General features: G+C 36.5%; 1 long non-coding RNA gene across 1 annotated transcript, besides 1 other annotated feature; it reads left to right on the top strand.

The window, feature by feature from the left end:
* The first annotated feature begins 219 nt into the window (after nucleotides 1-219).
* On the top strand, nucleotides 220-1281 carry LOC105372167 (uncharacterized). The gene is made up of 2 exons (XR_935578.2): nucleotides 220-349; nucleotides 1176-1281. It is a non-coding gene; the product is annotated as an uncharacterized LOC105372167 (long non-coding RNA).
* Nucleotides 8010-9209: an enhancer, noted in NCBI's record as "MED14-independent group 3 enhancer chr18:62289597-62290796 (GRCh37/hg19 assembly coordinates)". NCBI's record gives its function as "activates an origin of replication core promoter dependent on BRD2, BRD4, P300/CBP and CDK7 cofactors, and independent of MED14, by STARR-seq in HCT116 cells {active_cell/tissue: HCT116}" and the evidence as "EXISTENCE:reporter gene assay evidence [ECO:0000049][PMID:35650434]".

The raw sequence follows: 20489 nt of genomic DNA, 5'->3' as shown, positions 1-20489 counted from the left end.
CCACATCCAACATTGGGAATTACAATTGAACATGAGATTTGAGTGGGTATATAGATCCAAACCCCATCACTAGCCAAAAAGACAGACTATTCGGTGGATAATTAGAATAGTGTGTCATAAAGCTCATTATTGTAAGGAAATATGAGGTCACAACACAGGAGTCAGGCCAGGGCAGGCAGGAAAGTGGGAAAGTCCAGAAGCTGGGGAGGGAGGGAGAGGTGGAAGCTGAATTGTGAATCAAAAGAGAGTGAATTGTCATTCCAGGCAGAGGAAATTAAATGGGCAAAGGTTCTGAGGCAGAGAATGGCTCTTTGAGTGAGATAAGGGAGAATTAGAATGGTTTCAGATGGTAAGAAGATGTCAGAAAAGCTTGAGAGTTGAACAGAGAGGCTCTGGACAGGTCAAGAAATTTCTTGTCAAGAATTTTGGACATCAACTTAAAAATGAGAGGAAATCATTCAAAGTTGTCAGTCAGCAAGTGTTCACTTTTTTACATTTTACGTGTTCATCTACATCTGCATAATAACTGTGTTAAACACTATTTATTATATTATTTGGTTATTTTGAAATTCATCACAAAATTTTCTACCTTTCAAAGTTCTAGTTCTAAATGATGAAACATCCAATACTTATCACTTCTCAACTTATCTAATTTTAACTACAAATAACGTTGATATTTATAGATTCAAAAAAATTTATATGGAGTTTTCATGAATTCATGAATAATAGCTGAGTTTATAATACAAATAAGCATCTATCTATATTCTTAAAAACATTTTTGAATGGAACTCCAGTTTCTTATACACAGCCATTTCACATGGGCTTGGTTGAATTTGAATTAAATTTCACTGTTATTTTTTTCTTTGTGGGATAAGAAAAAGTAATATTCTATTGAATTTTGCCTTTTCTTAGGATATGGGAAAAATTCAATCTATTGAATTCATTGTATTGCTATGGTTTCAGAATATAGCCAGTATGTAGTTTTTTAAAAAACTTTCCTGACATGCCTTTGTTCATATATGTTTTAAGTTGCCTCGAGTGTATTGCAACTCATTCTTTAAAACCTTTATTCAACACTCGAGACTGCAGAGCTAATTTGTGAACATCTAATCCAACAAACTAATCACATCTCTAGGTTTTTCAATTTACCTCTGTCTTCCCTGTTTAATTTTCAGTAGATGTTCTGGTATTTTGCATCTTGTCTATCAAGACAGAAACCATCTCTCTAAATAATTGCTGTGAACTTGAAGATGACAGAGTAGATAGAGTGACCACTGAGTGGTAAGTCTGCAATAGCAATATAAAAATTGGCTTCAGAATGAGTTACTGTTTCCCTACAGTTTCATAGCTTTCAATTGTTACTCCTGCTATCTCCATAATGGCATAGCATTGTCTCTTTAAGAATTATTTCAGCTAATTTCAACTTGAAATTTCTGAAAAAAAAAAAAAAAAAGCTTGTTCACAGAAGACATTAAAAAACAAAAAACCCTTCAACTTCTCAGGTGAAGCACAGGCACCAATTTCCAAAATATAGTTCTAAAATAAATAAATGAAACAAAAATAGAGCCAGCATTACTGATTCTAAGTTCTTGTATCTCTTTGTTAATTTCCAATCCATTTCCCCATCACATCTGTTTTTATAATGTTCTGTTACTTCATCTTCCTTATTTTAGCATTCCAGGGACTTGGCGTCCCATCTCCACTAATAATAACAAATGATATCCCAGACAATGTTAGCAAGGGATTTATTTTTACCACTTTGTCTATCAAAACAGTAACGTAATTTTTAACAAGTGCTAGGCAGAAGTATGTGTCATGTCTTCCAATTGAAAAAAACAAATCCAGACCACAATTGATAACCAATTAAAAATAAGTCATTTCAATACATTTTTATTTAAATTGTATGAAACATTATATTAATTAAAAGATTAGCCCAGGTACAATTAGATTCATTTTGTGGTGATTCTCAAGCATTTCTAGGCCTCGGGAAAATCTCTCTTGATAGACACTAGGGGGAAAAAACAAGGAGGGAGGGAAGGGAGGGAGGGAGGGAAGGAAGGAAGGAAGGAAGGAAGGAAGGAAAGGAAGGAAGGAAGGAAGGAAGGCAGGAAGGCAGGCAGGCAGGCAGGCAAGCAGGCATGAGGGAGACAGACATCCAACTAACAAGCCATAGGCCATGAATAAGCACCAAGTGAAGCTATTGATGAAACTGGATTAAGTGGTAATTGATTTAAGAAATATATTCTAGATGCCAACCATGGTCAATGCTATGAATTCCTCACACAGAAAGCTAAAGAATCTGATAGTATAACTAGGGAGATATGGTATAGACATAACATTAGGCAAAACTGTTCTTCTCAGTGGTAGTCAGTGAACCACCTACATCAGAATAAAAAGGATTCCTTGTCTCAAATGCAAACCAGGTCCCCAGTGCCCACTCCAGACCCACTGTAAATATGCATTTTACTATCTCTAGTTTTAAAATCTCTAGTTATTGCCGATGACTGGCATCATAATCTGAGAAGTCCTGAGGAGGAACATATTGTGCATAAGAAAAGCACAGGAAAAAATGCTTCAGAGATCAAAGAAAACAAATGACCCCAACATAAAATCCCTAAAGTTTCTAAATCTGCAGGAGTTACATGGAGGAGTCATGAATTGGAATTACAATAACTAGATTTGATAATAGTAAAATTTCAAATTAAGAAAAGATTTAAAGTAAAACATTATCACTAGGCCTACCTGAACTCAAGCTGATTAAATGTTGCTTATTTGATGGACTCACCATTCAATTTTATCAAAGGATAAAAAAGAGAAAAAAAAGATGACCAGTGAAAATCTTCCCACAGTGTGTAATTCTACAGGTTCCAGCGACTCTCTTTGTGTTACAACTTGGGGAGAAGGTTGTATATATCATCTCAAATTATTAAACACTGTAAATTATTATCAGAACATATTAAGGGAATAGAGGAATATTTTGGGAAATACTTATTTAGATGCTTTATGCTCGATATCTACAGATGTGCCTGAAACCTAGACTAGTAATAAAACTTACCTACACAGTGAAAGGCTGTATTGAGTCCCGTAATTCACAAACAGTATCTTCTGGGGATTGAGACTACAAATATGTTCTCAAAATATGTTTCTTTTTATATTCATAGCCAGTAGTGCAGAATTGAACAAGATTGCTTTGGTCCTATAAAGGAAATATTATTTTTTTAAGGTGACTGATACTAATCACCAAACAATAATTATTTATCTAGAGTAAATGATCTATTGCCCTATCTCTAACAGAAAAAAAAAAGCATATTAAGAGTTCAAGAAGGCTAGATACATGAAGTGAAAAGTTGATCCAACTGACATCTCAAATAATACTGCAAATCAAAGAATGTTTATTCCTCTGGTGGGACACTTCTAGGAGCAATGGCTGACCTGTGTACATTAACAGACAAATAAATCCTACCTGTCTCCACAAATGGGATAGCAATGTCAAGCTTTATCTCGTACTTATTTGAAAATAATTGATTTGTTTCCTTAAAGACTGACTCTCTGGCCCTCCAAGTCAAAAGAGTTTCCCAGGCCTTCAACATTTTGATTACAGAAGTCTTTTATGCACACATCTTGGGAGAATACCAATTGCTCATTATGGTTCACACTCTCAATAAAACAATGCCAGTAACAGCAGGCATAGAGCTTCTTGACCATCCAAACAAACAAACAAACAAAGGTTTATGTGAAAACTAGTGAACCTGATACCACTCAGGTAGTTTTCCACTATGTTATTGAAGCCAATTTCAATGACATGTAAGACCAAAAACCCAGCATCTTAGAACTTCACTTCTTTGTGACTGAGAAGAGGTTCCTGTAGATGACTCCCCTCCAAAATTTATCTCTTGAAACATTATGGGTCAGATATGTAAAGATGAAAAGAAATCTTGTTTTGTGTTTTGAACTTCTACAACTCTCGCATCTTCTCCTAGGAAGGTGTGTTGAGTGAGTGCATTGATTACTCCAAGGGCAAAAAAAGGTAACCTCTACTAATGGCTTTACTGTAATCTTTTTTTTTCCCAAAATAATATATGCACTAGTTACTCAAAATATCTTTAGTTTTCCGGGTTTCATAATTTAAAATATCTCCCTAAAATCTAGTAACACCCAAATCACAAAATCACAAATGTAATGCTAAAAGAAGCAATGATTTTAAATCCAAGTAATTATCAAAATTCTATATTCCTATTAACTGATTCCAAAAGATTAATCAAAATTATTCATTAACCATTAATCCATAATTTTAATTAGCAGTGTGGTGATTAAATTAACAATTAAAAATTCAATTGATAGTTAAAAATTGATAAAAATGATCCCTAAACATTCTTCATTATTAATCTTTTGGAATCATTATTTTTCATTAGAAAGAAGGTAAGAAATAAGGCAATTGTTTTCATTTAAACAAACAAAAAAGCTGTTAATATATTCTATATCTCATAGTTTACTTTTTTCAAAAGCCTTCAATAAAATAAACTATATTTCCAATAGTGGGGAAATGCTTACATAAATTAAATATTCATAAACTTGAATATTTGGATTTATGTTTAGCTTTACAAATAATTGTAGTTACTTAGGTAAATGTTTACAAACTAATGTATATATAAACTACATTGTGTCATTCATATGTTTATTCTACATATGGAGAAATAAAAAATCTAGAAGCAGATGCTAGAAGCATTGTAGATATGTTTATTCTACATATGGAGAAAAAGAGAGGATGAGCAAGAAATAGGGAGAAAGATGAGAGAAAAAACTACTCATAAAGTTGTTTCTTTTAGGACATTTATTTAACAATGATGAAAATTGTCTATGCTTAGATTTTAGTTATTGTGCAAATCCAACATACCAAAAACTACTGAATTGTACAATTTAAACATGTGAATATTACAATATGTGAATTATATGGCAATAAAGATATCCAAAATGTCAGGTACAAATATTTTATATAGTTATTAAAGTATAATTTACATAAAATGACTATTTTATGTATATAGTTGATACATTTAAACAAATGTTTACACCAACAAAATCTAACAAGATAGAACATTTCTTCTAGTTCAATATATTGCCTTACACGTTTTTCTAGTCAGTCTCTTCTTTGGCCCTCAGCTTCAGGAGAGCATTGATGAGATTTTTGTCACCGTGTAGATTAAATCATTTTCTACAGTTTTACATAATTGGAATCACACATGATGCACTCTTGTCTGGCTCCGCATTATGTTTTTGGAATTGTGTGTATCCGTTGTTTGTTTCTTTATGTTGATGATTGATATTCCTTCCATCTTTTGATACATTTTGGGGACATCAGTTATGAAGCACAGGATGTGCTTTGAAACTAGAGAACCAGTGAGTCTGTTTGGTGAGATTCAATAATTTCTAAGATTTGGCTATTATGAAGAAAGCTACTATAAACATTTATGCACACTTGTATGGCCACCTATTTTTATTTCTCTTGGATACATAATAAAGAGTGGAATTGGTAGACCATATGGTAGTTTTTTAAAACTTTTAAAGAAACTATCCAACTATTTTCCAAAGTAGTTGTATAATGTTAAATCTCAGCAGTATATGAGTATTCTTGTGGCTCCACATTTTTTATAACTCTTGAAATTTGTCCCTATTTGTAATATTAGACAGGTAGCTGTGTAATGATATTTCTTTTTGGCTTTAATTTTACTGATGTCTAATGATATATGCAAATATACTCTATCATATCACATGTACAAATTAGCATCCCTGGACATTCATGTATTTTTTTGTGAAGTGTTTTTTTCAAACCTTCCATGGTTTTGTTTATTTTTGGATCAGGCCTTCTTTGTATTCGGTTAGGAATTGCTGCTCGGCCATGAGGTATGTAAACATGTAAGCAGCAGACAGTCTGCAAATACCAACAACTTCAGGGTCTGCCTTAGCTGCAGAGAGCCACCCACCCAAGGACACACCATTTCTTAGGAAGTTCATATGCAATGCCCAAATACGGTAAGGGTGTAAGGGCCTGGCCCTATTAGCGGTTTGTTGTTCTTTGGTTTAGTTTTTGACATAGCTCGAGCTTCAACTCTGCCTGGTACCTATGCTCAGACCTTATCTTCAAGGATGCGCCTCCTTCAGCTGACCCAGGCTAGCTGAAGTTTTGCTAGCCCTGTGTTGAAATTTGCCTTCTCTTTCTTTACAAATCATGCTTTTTCCCCCTCCTTTCAAAAGAATTGATCCCTGATTAACATCTTACATCCTGAACCTCATCTTAGCATCCGCTTCTAGAGAAGCCAACCTTCACCATGGCCTAAATGTTCTTCTTTTTATTCAATTTGCTTGTATTTCTTTAAAACATAAAAACTTTCATTTATGGCTGCTTGGGTGACAAATAACAAAATTACGTGTTGTGTTTCTTTGCAACTGGTTCTAACAGTGGAAAAACATGAACCACCAAGAGCTTTAGGTAACCTTGGTACGCCAGAACTGAAAATATGTCCTTTATTCATAAGTAATAAAATATATTTAGCCATTATGAACTTTGCTTAAGATTCCAGTTTTCAAAACAGCGGTAACCCTTTGAAACAGTTTGAAAACTCTGATCGTTTTTCTCTTTTGAGTACTACTCAGAGAATTTCATTGCAACTGCCTGTTCGTTAACCTAGCAAGTGAGTAAATTGAGGCTTTAATTAAAAAAAAAAAAACGGTTGTTGTTCTTTGATATATATTTTGACATAGCTCAAGCTTCAACCCTGCCCAGTTCCTATGCTCAGACCCCATCTTCAAGGATGCTCCTCCTGCCTAACTCCTATCTCAGAATATTGTTTTTTCCTTTCCCGTTTAATCCCCAGGCTCAGCTCCTGGGACCAATCCTGGTTCAGGCTCCTGTTGCCTGCCTCATCCCACAGCCGTCCATAATTTGGTGGTTACGTCATGCACCTGAAGTGGTAGTGAGCATTTATAGTAATAAAAATCATAGTCTCACACTGCCATTTTCAGTCACACTGATATACAGCAAGAACATTGAGAAGCTTAGTTGATGAAGATTCTACATAGTATATGTAGAAAAACTCTATGTTAATTAAGCAAATGTTCTTCTACTTGGAACATTATTGAATCTCACCAAACAGACTCACCGGTTCTCTAGTTTCAAAGCACATCCTCTGCTTCATAATTGATGTCTGAGCTCCCAATCGCAGCTAAATCCAGATCCTAAAACCACAGAAAACAAGGGAAGTGAAGGTCAGAGGAGACTCCAAGGCCCAAGAAACAATAAAGGAGGAATATAAGACAATTATCAGAATCCCGACCACTGTAAACCAAAAATAAAGACAAACGGAAGCTCCTTAAGTACCCCTAAGCTTTCTAATCACAGGTACGCACACAAATACATTCACATAAACACACAGGTACAGGTGAACACTAGACAAGCACACATAATGAACACCTTCTCCGTATGTCTTTAAGATCAATGAAACAAGTTTCCAGAACTAGCTAGAGAGAAAACAGGATAATCAGAGGTGACAAGGAGAATAATAAACAGAAGAAAAATGTATCTTGTATCAAAAACACATGTCTTGTTCCTTCTGAAGGGATATTGAAAGACAGGAAGAGCAAGTGAGAGGGGGAGAGAGAGAGAGAGAGAGAGACTCCTATGTATGACCTTTGATAAGGGCGTAGAGTTCTCTTCACCACCAATATTCCCTAAGTGCTGTTCTTCTGCACTAAGTTACCACCTGAAATTCTCCTTTGCTTTATCCTCCCTCTGCTCTTCCTCAGAGGTGAGTCTGGGTACTGCTGACACGGCAGGTATAATTCAGCCAGTAAAAAACGCTTCACAACAAGCACACTTACCCATTGACCTTCATCCCTCTCCTTTGGAAGGGAAGCATCTGGCAGGTTTCTATTACAATATGGGCAGAACATTATGCACAGCCCTAGGACTTCTCTCCTTCATGTCAAAAACCCCCTATAGCAAAAATTAATGTAGGAGGAAATGGGGCATGAGGCCCAACCACACTGTTCTCTTTCAAATGGAGAATTTAAGGCTTTGAGTCCTATTAAGCCTCCAGCATCTTAAAGAGACATTTCCCATCCTCCATCATCATTTTAGTGGAACGGGTTTTTACAGGGAATACAATCTGATCAGCATGTTAGGACAGAGTTTCTTCATGTATATGCCATGATATTGCCTACGCTGTGTTTTAAAAACACTTTCAAAAGAAGAGTGTTCTTTTTTAAAAAAAAATCATTGGCATATAAATCAAGCATTCTATTTCTTTAACTTTTGAATTTTTATTAATGAACAGATATAGCATGCTTATATTATGTAAATTTCTAACATGTGTAATTTTTATGTTTTTTTAAGAGATGGGAACTTGCTAATGTTGCCTGGGCTGAAATGCAAAGGCTATTCTCAAGTGTGATCATTGGTGCGGTACAGCCTCCAACTCCTGGGCTCAAGCAATCCTCCTGCATATCTGAGACCATAGGCATGCCCCAACATGCCCAGCTTTATTTTTACCTTTAAAAGCTCTCCCAAGTATTATGGGGCTGTTTGAATTCAAAGGGTCAAAACCCCAGGCTCCCCATTGCCATTCTGCCAGGACTAAGGTCCCTAAGTAAAAGTCCTAATGAAGTTTACCCTGTTAAACAAAATTCATCCTTTGAAGACAAAATTCTTCCTTAAAACCAATGGGCCTTAACTACTGGTGAAGCCTAGAAGCTCGTATGAGACAATGTAAGGTAATAAAATGAATGCAGTTTGTTTTCAAACAGCAGCTTAAAATTTTCTTTGTTGATTCTGTTACTTCTACCAGAAATATTAGTTAATATTTCTGACTCACTTGAATTGTTTTTAATTGAATTATTTAGTGTTGGAAATCAATTATCCATAGGTTTCTTGAGAATATCTGCAAGTCTTATAAGCAAGACATTGACAGCTTTTTGTTCCAGACTGTCTTTTTTAAGGTTGTGTTTATAGTGAACAGCCTTAGAATATAGAGAGATTATACCGTTCTGTAGCAAAGGGCAGATATTCTTACTTTCTAACATAGGAAAGGTAATGTCTCCCTTCAGAGCTAAGGGTAGCCATGCTTATTCTATTTATAAGAGATTAGAAATCCCTAACCTCAGAGTTCATCCCCTGTAACACAATTCAGTGCAGGCATCCTGGGTTCCTTGTCTCATTTTCCTGTAGAAGCATAGGCTCCAGAAACTGGCCTGAACATGTTGATGCTCTTACTACTATTATCACTTGGAGTAATAAGCAGTCTTCTCTGACTTGGGTCTTGTGTCTTCTATTACCATACATGAAACTAGAATGCACTAACTGTGCACTTGAAAGTACAATAAAATTGTAGAACTTCCCAAGTTCTTGACAGGTTAGGTGATGAACATAGGATTATGACAGAGACTTGGCTTTCTGAAAACAGAAGTATAAAGGCCTTGTGAATGAATTAAGGAGATTTGAGAGAGGACTTTAGGAATTAGTAGCTACTATGTGGAAAAATTCCATAGTCTAGTGGACAAAAAATGGTTCTCTAGTTTATTAATAATTAGATGAGGAAAAATTTGGGATGTGGCAGGCAGAGCACCAAGAGTTGCCCAAACTATGTCCCAGTTGTTGCTAACTCTTCTCTGGGAGGGAAACTTCCTTGCCGGTCTTCCCTGTTGGCTAATAAACCCAGATAAAATTCAGGGATCTGCCAGCCCATTTAAATTTCCTGGGACTATGTGGATGGATTCAATTGCTTAATTCCTCTACCAGTCTAGGAAAAACTTCTGTGTCCTCAGCAATAACAAGTGATCCTAAGATGTGTCCTAGATGCTCAGAAAGATCTTCTCCATTTCAGACAACAGTTACAAAAATGTGCTTCTACACTGGGCATAAAACAGGGAAACTGCTCGAAAACTATGGGCAGAAGCCAAGTGAATCACCCGGTTCTTGTCTGATTCACTTGTGAGATTAGGAGGCAGGGCCCATACTCGTTAAGGAAAAATGGCAACAGCTGGGTAGTCTTAAAGCGCCTGTATCTATCATTGCTATCTTAGATCCATTCAGAAAGGTCCATAAATAACCTCAGAGATTTCTGCAGTGAGTCCTGCTATATGCTGTAAGGGAGCTTTGTCTCTATCTGGGAGATTCCCCCGAGACAGGCAAACTCCTGTGGGAAACCATACATGAGGCATTGAATATTATTCATAGGCTCTTACTGCTCCAGACTGAGTTTTTTATAATAATAAAAATGACTTATTTTGTAGACTGAGAAGCTGATCCAAAGAAATCTAGATAAAATCTTGTAGTCAGGCTTACCACCATGGAAAACTTCACTAGGCTAAGGAGAGAACATAAGCACTGTTATCTTGGTGATGGGGAGCAGATGCTTTGGATTAAGGTGGACTTCTCAAAGAACATCAACTTGTATGATCCAAGCTTGAGTAAGCCAGAAGGTGCAAATGCCATAACCCCATCAAAAAGCGATGAGGCTCTCATTGCTAAGTTAAGGGCTCTTACTGTCTGATACAGAGCACTGGACAGGTCCAAATACTAAAAGTTTGCTTGAGCCATGAGCTGCCATCATGCTTCTCAAAAAAAAAAAAAAGTAAATGCAAAGCCTTGGTTGGTGACATGATACCACATTCCTCCTCTGGGACACTGTATTAGTCTGTTTCCACGCTGTGGATAAAGATGTACCCAAGACTGGGAAATTTACAAAAGAAAGAGGTTTAATTGAACTTACAGTTCCATGTGACTGGGAAGCCTCACAATCATGGTGGAAGGCAAGGAAGGGAAAGTCACATCTTACGTGGATAACAGCCGGCAAAAAGAGGGCTTGTGCAGAGAAATTCCCATTTTTAGCCATCAGATTTCATGAGACCAGCAAGAACAGCACGAGAAAGACCCACCCCCATGATTCAATCACCTCCCACCGGGTCCCTCCCACGTGGGAATTATGGGAGCTAAAAGAAGAGATTTGGGTGGGGGCACAGAGCCAAGCAATATCAGACACCAGTCTTTCCTAAACCCTCTACCCCAAAATCGGCTGTTGTAAGGAAAGTAAAGATGATTAAAGAAGGAACCTAACTCTCTATTAACATGGGGAGGGAATGAAGACCAGACACACTGTTCAAAGTGAGATGGAGAATATGAATGGGGGAAGAAAATTAAACTTTTTTTGGCTCTAAGGGATATGTGTGCCCAAAGCACATTTTTCTCCAGACCAGGGGAAAATATGCACCCAGATTCAGTTAATGCTCTTTGAGCCCAGTGGAGAAGACAAGGTAATATGACTGTATTAATTCTTTCTTGCATTGCTACAAAGAACTACCTGAGGCTGGGTAATTTATGAAGTTAAGTGGTTTAATTAACTCACTGCTCTGCAGCCTGCACAGCAAGAATGGCTGAGGAGTCACTTCAGGAAACTTAAAATCATGGTGAAAGTTGAAGGGGAAGCAGGCATGCCCTACCTGGCTGGAGAAGGAGGAAGAGAGCAAAGGGGGAGGTGCCACACTCCTTTAAACAACCAGCTCTCATGAAAGCTCACTCGCTATCATGAGAACAGTGAGGGGAAAATCTACCCACTAGATCCATTTACCTCCCATCAGGCCCCTCCTTCAACACTGCAGATTACAATTCAACATGAGATTTGGGTGGGTACACAAATCCAAACCACATCAATGACTTTGTGGGCAGGATCCTTTGGATGAAGTAAATGTAATGTTGTTTCCGCCTCTAAAAGGGTAACTGGAATTGATGTCATGTGCATATACTTCCCCAGCACATCAATACCAGAAGGATTCTCCAGACCTGGAAAGCACAGAAAAAAAGTGATACATAACTCATTTCTGTAAATCCCACTTCCGCTTGCAATCAATATTTGGTCATGATTTAGCATGAGTGCCTCTACCCTCTGAGGTTTAAAGCTCTCACTACATACATGACTTCTTGCTGGTTGGCAAGTCAGTATTTTTTCAGTCTCAATAGCCCTTACTGCAATGTTATTCCTCACTATCACCTGCAAGGGCTGCTAATAAACCCAGAGAAAGTTCAGATTTCTTCCTGACAACCTCATTGTCTTGGGATGATGTTAATGGATTCAAACTACTTAACTGCCCTGGCAATCAAGAAAAAACTGCTGTCTTCTCAGCACCCACCACCAAAAAGGAGGCCTTGCACCATTTCGAACTCGAGATATTAGAAATATGTGCTTAAGTTTGACGCTGGCATTAGTCTTTTATGTTGGACAATCCTTAAATCAGTTTCCTTTGTGTGGGACACAAACTGACAGTCTGCATGGAAGCTATCCAGCAAACTGACATAGTCCCTATTTTTGCACCCCTTATGTATGAATGATATTTTTAGGTTTTGAGTTTCTATGACCGATGACTTTGCCAGTTGGGCCTTTGTCAAAGGGAGGCAGCCTTAATGTAGAGGCCACCCTTGGGATTTTGGCATCATGGCCTCCATGACAGCAGTGCCAGAAATACAGTTATTAGCTTGCCACTGGGTTATTGTTGAAATGGAATGCCTCACTTTGATGTTGGTTAACTTGGACTTAAAGACTAACAAGATGGGAAGGACCCAAAAAGACTTATTTTTCAAATGGAAATGTTATAGTCAAGAATGCAGCTGGCTTGCCTTGGCCCCTATATCTTCATTTTACTTGAAGAGTAGTAATAATAACTTTGGAAGAAACTTCATATCCTACACAAATACCTTATAAAAAAGGTGCTGGGCCCCTGAGGTCCTTGATTCACTGATGTTCCTCTAAATGACTGGGCCTGGTTCAATGATGGTTTGGCTAAGCTGGAAACTGATGAAATCCACTGGGCCTCCACATCTGCTCCACCTTAGCACAGCTGTGTGGAACAGAAAATGTTGAGATCACTCTGCTCTGTGGACAGAACTCACAGCTATCTTCACAGTTCTTGCCTGTGAGCACCTTGAGGAAACTGGTTAAAATTCAACTGAAGCTTGGGTTGTTGCCAATAGCCTAGTGTTTAGCCTGCCAACTTGGAAAACTACAGACTGTGGCAGATTAATACTCCGCTCTTTGAGGCCATGAACTGCAGAAACCAATCACAGCTACTGATCAAACCATCTGGATTCTTCATGCAAATGCCCAAGTTAAGTGTCTGTTATCTGATGAAACTAAGTGAAGTCAAGCTGCTGTTTGAGCCTGTATCATACAAAGCACCATCCTTTTTGCCTCAGCGTAGGAGAACATCTTCTACATAGACTCTGTTTCTGATGCACAGATCACCACTGCATGCCAGACTCAAGACTTTGGCTAGAGTTGACCTGTAGTCTCATACAGAGGGAGGCCATTACCTGGGGTAGTGCCCTTGCTTGATCCTAAAGGACTGATTGCTTCACACTTTAGACTCCTCTCAATATGATCAGCAGTGTCTCAACAGAGTTAACAACGTCTGCGTGTTACGGTGTGCCAGTCAATCTGATCACCTGACTCCAACCACACCATTCATACCGTTGTGGTCCTTGAAACCAGTCTGTCACGTGTTTGGATTAACCCTGTGATAATGGTGAGCATTTCATTACAAAATCTACTCAGCAGTGGACTTTCCATGCTCCCAACCATCTACAGGCATCTCTGCATCCTTACCAGCATTTGGTGTTGTTGCTATTTTTCATTTAAGCCATTCCAATATGAATGTAAGGGTATCTCATTATGGTTTAATTTGCATTTCCTTAATGGCTAATAATGTTGAGCATCTTTTCATGTACTTATTTACCATTTGTATATTCTTATAAGTGAAATGTCTGTTCATCATGTTTAACCATTTTCTAAATAAATTGGTTTTTTTTTCGAGGTTTGAGATCTTTATATATCCTAGAAACAAACACTTTGCTTGATATGTGTTGTCATTGTAGTTTGTGTATTTATCCTCTTCATGGGATCTTTTTGAGAGGGAAGTTTTTAATTTTCATGAGGTTTAATTTATGTTTTTTTTTTTTCCACCTTTTGGGGGTTGTAGTTTTGGTGTCAGGTCTAGAACTCTTTGTTTAGCCCTAGATCTTGAACATTTTCACGTATATTTTAACTAAATTTTATAGTCATATGTTCTGCAGATATGTCATGATCCATTTCATGTTAACATTTAGGTTGAGTTTCATGTTTTGCCTGTGGATATCCAATTAGTTAAGCACTGTTTATTGATTTATTCATACATTGAATAGCTTTTAAACTTTTGTCAAAATTCATTTGGCCATACTTGCGTGGGTCTATTTCTAGGTTCTCTGTGATTTTTGTTTTACATGCACATTTGACATTATTACATATTCCCAGTGGAATAATCAGTTATGATTATTTTATGTCTATCCTTGTCTCTAGTAATTTGCTATAAAGTAAACTTTGACCACAATTTGATTGCCATCCCCCTTAAACTTACCTTGTGAATGCTTCTGTCTCTACTGTATACTTTCAATCTCATACACTTTAATATACTTTTATCCAAAGTAAATCACATCCTAGTCGATATTAATACAAATATATGAAATATTTTCTTGTATAATGCATGGCTACTAATTACTTGGCAAGATTCCCCAGGAATTAAGGAAATAAGCGTATGTATATGTAAAACTCAAGTGATTAAAGAATCTTTATCTTCTCAGCATCATCCCTGCATTGTTGACACATACTGTCATATAATCTAGTTAAAGAGTCGTATTCCTACATAGGAATTATTCTAGGCAAGCCATGCTGTGAAATAGGGGTTATTACATAGGGGATACTAGATATTTTATTATGATAACTCAGGAGCACACAAAAGAGCAGTCTATTCTTAGAAACTGAACAACTGGAATAGAAGTCACACAGGCTATAGTAAGGAAAACCGAAGTTAGGACACTCTTTTCCATAGTAGTAATAAGTAATCGTAGGCCCAGGAGAAATAATAATAACTAATATTTATATAACCATTTAGAGCTTGGAAATCACTTTTAGAGATTAACTTTTTAAATCTTTCTCAAAAATCTGAGATTATTAACATTTTATATATTAGGAAAGTTCATCTTAGAGAAATTGAGTGATCTGATATATCACATTAGATCATAACCTGAGCCACAACCTAGAATGTGGATCTACTAAACGCCAAGTCTATGCTGATGCATGAGAGAGAAGAGAGAAATCTCAGAGAGAAATTTCTGTCTTTGGCCTACCTCTCTCTCCCTGGCCAAGTTTCTGCCTCATGAAGGTGGTCAAAAGTTGCCACTAGATTCATGGGTGTGGTGAGCTAATGTAAGTTGGCTTATCATTCTTATTAGTACTAAATATGTATTTAACAAGGTAAAATAAAAGTTGATTGAGGATTATTGATGAATGAATAAAAATGTTTTGGACTAAAGTCATAAAGCTTCATATTGCATCTTACATTCTTACCCGATAGAGAAAGGACGGCTTCAGGTATTTGAAAATGAAAAATTACCTTCTTGATCAGGAATATGGTGAATGTGTACCTTCCACACGATGATCTTAATTATTAGTTAAAAAAAAAACTTAAAAATTTAAGAGAAGAACCATACATAGAAATTGTAATATTTGAGTTTTTTTTATTAACTTGAACAAAGTAGTGAATTCCATGAAAACAGCATGCCTTCTAAAATTCACGTGATAGCCTGAAGAAAAGCATTTACCAGTTGAAGAAATTTAAGGCTGCCCTGAAGTCCTATTTATTTCATAAAGACATAGTTGTTTCCCAAAAAGCATTCAATATTTTTTAACCATACCTTAGCAGAATTTTGGCCAGCAGTTAATATTTTAATGTGTACAAATTCTATGAATGTGCGGAACATTTAAAAATCAATTGTGAGTAAAGGATATTAACATATAAAACAATGATGTCTTTAATTTTAAGTGTGTTTGCCCTTCAAAGTAGAATGTGAACATTTTCAAAGTTATAACAATTCAAATTGGCACCAGGCAGTGTTTTCCCATCTTAAAGCAATACTTTGGATGAGGATGCTTTGCCACTATTAACAAAACATCTGTTGGAGCCTCAGCAATAAAGACAAATAGTTTCCTCTCTAATTGTTTGTATGTGAAATGAACACTGGGTTATTCAGAGAAGCCCAGGCCATGACTGACACACAGCAGAAAGAAGAAGAAGAAGCTGTGCTTGGACAAGTGCACAGTTCTGCTGTGAGCTGCCTTCTATGAGGCACTCTGTCATTGAAATTGAGGTAGAGGTCAAGACAAAACAGATCCAAGCAGTTGTATGGGATTCCTATGTTAGACAATAAAGACAATTCTCTCTCTTAAAAAGGGAAAATGAGCTGATATGGCACTTTCTCCTATTTCTCAGTAAACCCTGAGTAACCCCAGGTTGATGGATATACTAGTGATGACATAAACCCTTCTGAACTTAACATCCTGTTTAAGGTGATCCTCTTTCAGAATTAACGATCCAAAAATGTATTTCACACTTTCTGCAGTCAGAATCACCTTTTGATTACATTTTGTCAATGATGTCATTCAATTATCTCAAATGATTTAAAACTTTTTTTTTTCTAAAAATGTAAGATATAGTGGCTTTTAAATATAATGGCTACTAAAATGCCTCATTCAAATATTTCTCTAAGATCTGCTCTATTAGTGCAATGAAAACCAGGACTTTACTCTGCAATCTCATGATAGAGAAGAGAGCTAGATTTTCAGAATATCCACACCAAATTGTTGAAAGTCTTCGGAAGTTGTAATGCAGATAGAAGCTGGCAGTTTAAAATCTTCTGACCTCTTTGTGACTTTCCTGAAGTGAGCTCCTTCAATGAGACCAATGACAAGAGAAATGGTCCATGCTGGATTGATATTAAGGCTCACCTCTTTTCAATTCTTTTTTCAGTAGTCTCAGAGGAGGAAAAGGATCAGACATGCTCCCTTAATTTTGTTTCCTGGCAATTAACTCCCAGAATAACACCAAATAATTACAACCATAACATTGCAGAGAAAGTTAGAGTAGCAGTAAATGTTGCTAAGCTGTGAACTTTGACAAACAAGCCCCTATAAATGTTGCAAGGCTGACTGGTATGTATCTGGTAACATGCTCTGCATTGACACTCAGATTTGGGGAAGAAGACAGCTTGTCACGCTGAAGGAAAAGCCTGATGTGTGAAGTATGACATTATGTTTTGGGAGTAAAGGACAGCAGAAATGATACACAGAAAGAATTCATTCAGAAGGAAACCAGTAGAACCTTAAGTATCTAGGGATGTTCATGTGCATCTATTTCTCTATTCATTTTATTTTCTTTTAAGGAGAGAGAGAGAGAAAAAAAAAAAAAGAATAGTTTTCCTGTGTTGTTCTCCCTAAGGGGACACAACAGAAAAGCTCAGGATGGCTCTGAGTTCTGGCATGGCCAAGTAAGCAGAAAATGAAATATTCTGTTTCACCAAACTGATAGCTGAGTATCTCTATGTCCCCAGGGGCTCTAAGACTCCCTCAAACATTGTCAGTCAAAGAACCCCACCCCACCCACGCCGGTGCATGCATTCTGGATTCTTTATTGGTGAAAATCTAAATTTGTTAAGTATGTTGACTTTGCTCTTGCTCATTCCCTTGTAATTAACTTCTCTTTTATTCTTCAGTGTATGTTCCTCCGTTCACCCACAATTTTCCCATTTCAGTTAAACTGACCTTGCTTCAAGTAACACTGTGAGTGTTGAACTCTGCAGGCTGCAAGTACTCTATTACCAAGGCTTTTCTTAGATTTGCCTATTTTCACATTACATTTCATTTTATAAGGCCATGAATAAAGCAATTAATTGACAAAATTTGAATTAAGCTTTTAATGATTACTTCCTCCAGGAATTTTAATTTAATTACCTCCTCCATTTCCACATGTAGCTATACTACTTTAACCCCAAGTAGTGAAAAATATGGAACTCTCCAGGGTGATAATAGAGAAGCCCTGGAAAAGAATGATTTTTCTTAAAGATCTTTGTGTTTTTCAAGAAGTAGCAAGACGATTCCATTAAAAATCTTTTCTATCAAGAGGCTTTTTTTTTGTGTTTAATTTACCTTCTAATACAGGTGGGATCTTTCTAAATCTCAAAACTTAAAAGCTTAGGATTTAGTAGTTTTATGATAGTTTGGGACCAGCTATTCAGCAAAATATTCCCAAGCACCCCAGGCTTCTCATAATTAGGCAGCCCAAAATAAAAGGAATGGTTTTGTATTAAAAAAAAAATTCCCTCCCCCGACTGGGAGAAAATAGTGTCTGAATCTCAGATGGCAAATATAATACACATAATAAGTAAGTGTGTACTTCCCCTTCAACTCTGATTATTGAAGAAAAACAGCAGTATAAAACTAATTATTGAGGCCCCTGCCCTGTCATTTAAAAAAATCACATTAAAAAGTATCAGAACCAGCAATTCAATAACCCATCATAAATTAATTGAATAATTCAAAAATCAGGTAACTAGAGAGAGAAAAATAAAAAAAAAAAACACTGGAATTTACCCTGGTATTAGAAGAAGCAATCGTCAGTAATATTATTTTACTATACATAATGTGCCAAGGGAAATGTATCTATAGACCTAAGGGGGTGGTACATATTCTTAGGATCTTTTAAATGATGAGCTGTAGACAGGAAAGAAAGGTAATGGTTATGGAGATGTGTTGTAAATAATGACTTGGACATGGATATCCATATGCTCTAGAATGTAACCTAGTTTGAAAGACAATAGTATGCTAAATTTAGTCTTTTTGTTTGTCTTGACATATTATTTAATTATTGATAGTAATACACTCTTGTGTATTCTGTAAAAATATGTAAGTTTAAGAGTAAAATCTTGGACAATTCCAGTCTATGTAGTGTCATTAAATGTCAAGGTGCCTCTTCAAACACAATGTAAACTCAGTCGCATTTACCTAAATCCCACAACATGCTTCTTAATAAAAATGTCCCCAATAGTTATTTTAAAAGGAGTCAACTGATAATAAAGACATTGGTTATGGAAAAAGTTAGCCAGATAAGCTAACTTTGGTTTATATTGGATGTGATATGAATTAATGTGGGAATGACTCCTCAGATACATTGCAGAATTTGTGACACAAGAAGTTTGGGACTAAAGCAAATAAACAAACTGTTAAATAATAGTAAGGCTGTCATTTTTTCTCATGTTCTTCTAATCCCATATTATGTTTGAGTTCTGAGAAAATGTCGAGTATGCAAACAATTGCGACCTCATGGTACAAGTCTGGCATGGAGTCACAAAGAAACACTAGAAATGCCAGTCCAATCCTATGAATAATTTAAAAAGCAATTAATTTATTTATTCTTAAGTTCACTGCAGAAATGAAACATTTTCACCCATGTAGAAAGAACTTCGATACTTCTTGAAATTTGCATTTTCTATTCTGTATATAATATATGCATATATATGTTCTTTGAACATGTCTATGATCTATGTCTCTATATAAATGTACCTATATTATACACATATCTGCATATAAATACACTCATGCACACACACACACACACACACAGACGTGCACAAATGTGCACACACACACCTCCCTCATGTACTCAACAGCTATCTTAGGCCAGACATGCTCATCTAACCTGATCAGTACCATTTCTCTCTCCTCTTTCATCCCTGAACAGGCATATATTCAGTAGATTAATTTAAACTATCATGTTTCTTTAGTTGTTTTCCTAATTCACTCATTAACAGCAACCTTTTCTCATTTTCAGATTGAGAGTTATATGAAGACAAAACTTAATTTGTATTCTTTTATCCATTATATACTATCCCTTAATTGAATATTTGTAACTCTCTCCAACATATGTATATATTCCATTATCTTATCAATCGCAGTCCAAGCAAATGCTCTACTTCTTTTCTACCACACTACATTGATTTCCTCTTGCTTCCTACATTGATAGTGGCCAGCTCAAGACTACTAATCCTGATGAGTGATTAACTTTAGGATAAGATTCAGTCTTCCTAGACCCTCTTGCTTCTGTTATAGGAATCAGGATAAATAGCACTCATAGTAAGATCTAGCTTCTCTATTTTTGCTACTGCCCATGGAGAAGGCTCAAGAGGGAGGAGTGATTCTTGTTCACTTGATATATGACCATACTTCCACAGGGTCTTACTTTTCCCAGCGATAAGGCAAGATAGAGTTCCAAGCACTGCAGATAAAACTCCCCGCCTTTATTTTTCAGGTCTCGAAGAGTCCATTTTCAGGGTCTACAGCATTTCCTAGACCCTCTGTATTGGACCCATCCTCCTATATTCCTGACATTGAGAGCCTTGAAACCACTGACTGTCTTGAGTTTACCAGGACTTCTTTCTTCCCCATCCTCTGTTAATATGGCTGACCAAAAGAAGACTTGAACTCCTTAAATAAATACGGCTCATATTCTACTCCCTCCTTTGTCTCATCGTAACTCATGAAACCCATCTGCCTTACCTTCTGATAACATATTCATGGACCATGAAC

This window comes from Homo sapiens, chromosome 18, assembly GCF_000001405.40.
Source record: "Homo sapiens chromosome 18, GRCh38.p14 Primary Assembly".
In the NCBI taxonomy this organism is placed as follows: Eukaryota; Metazoa; Chordata; class Mammalia; order Primates; family Hominidae; genus Homo; species Homo sapiens.
The sequence above is the reverse complement of the archived record's forward strand: the minus strand, read 5'-3'. Positions and strand labels throughout refer to the sequence as shown.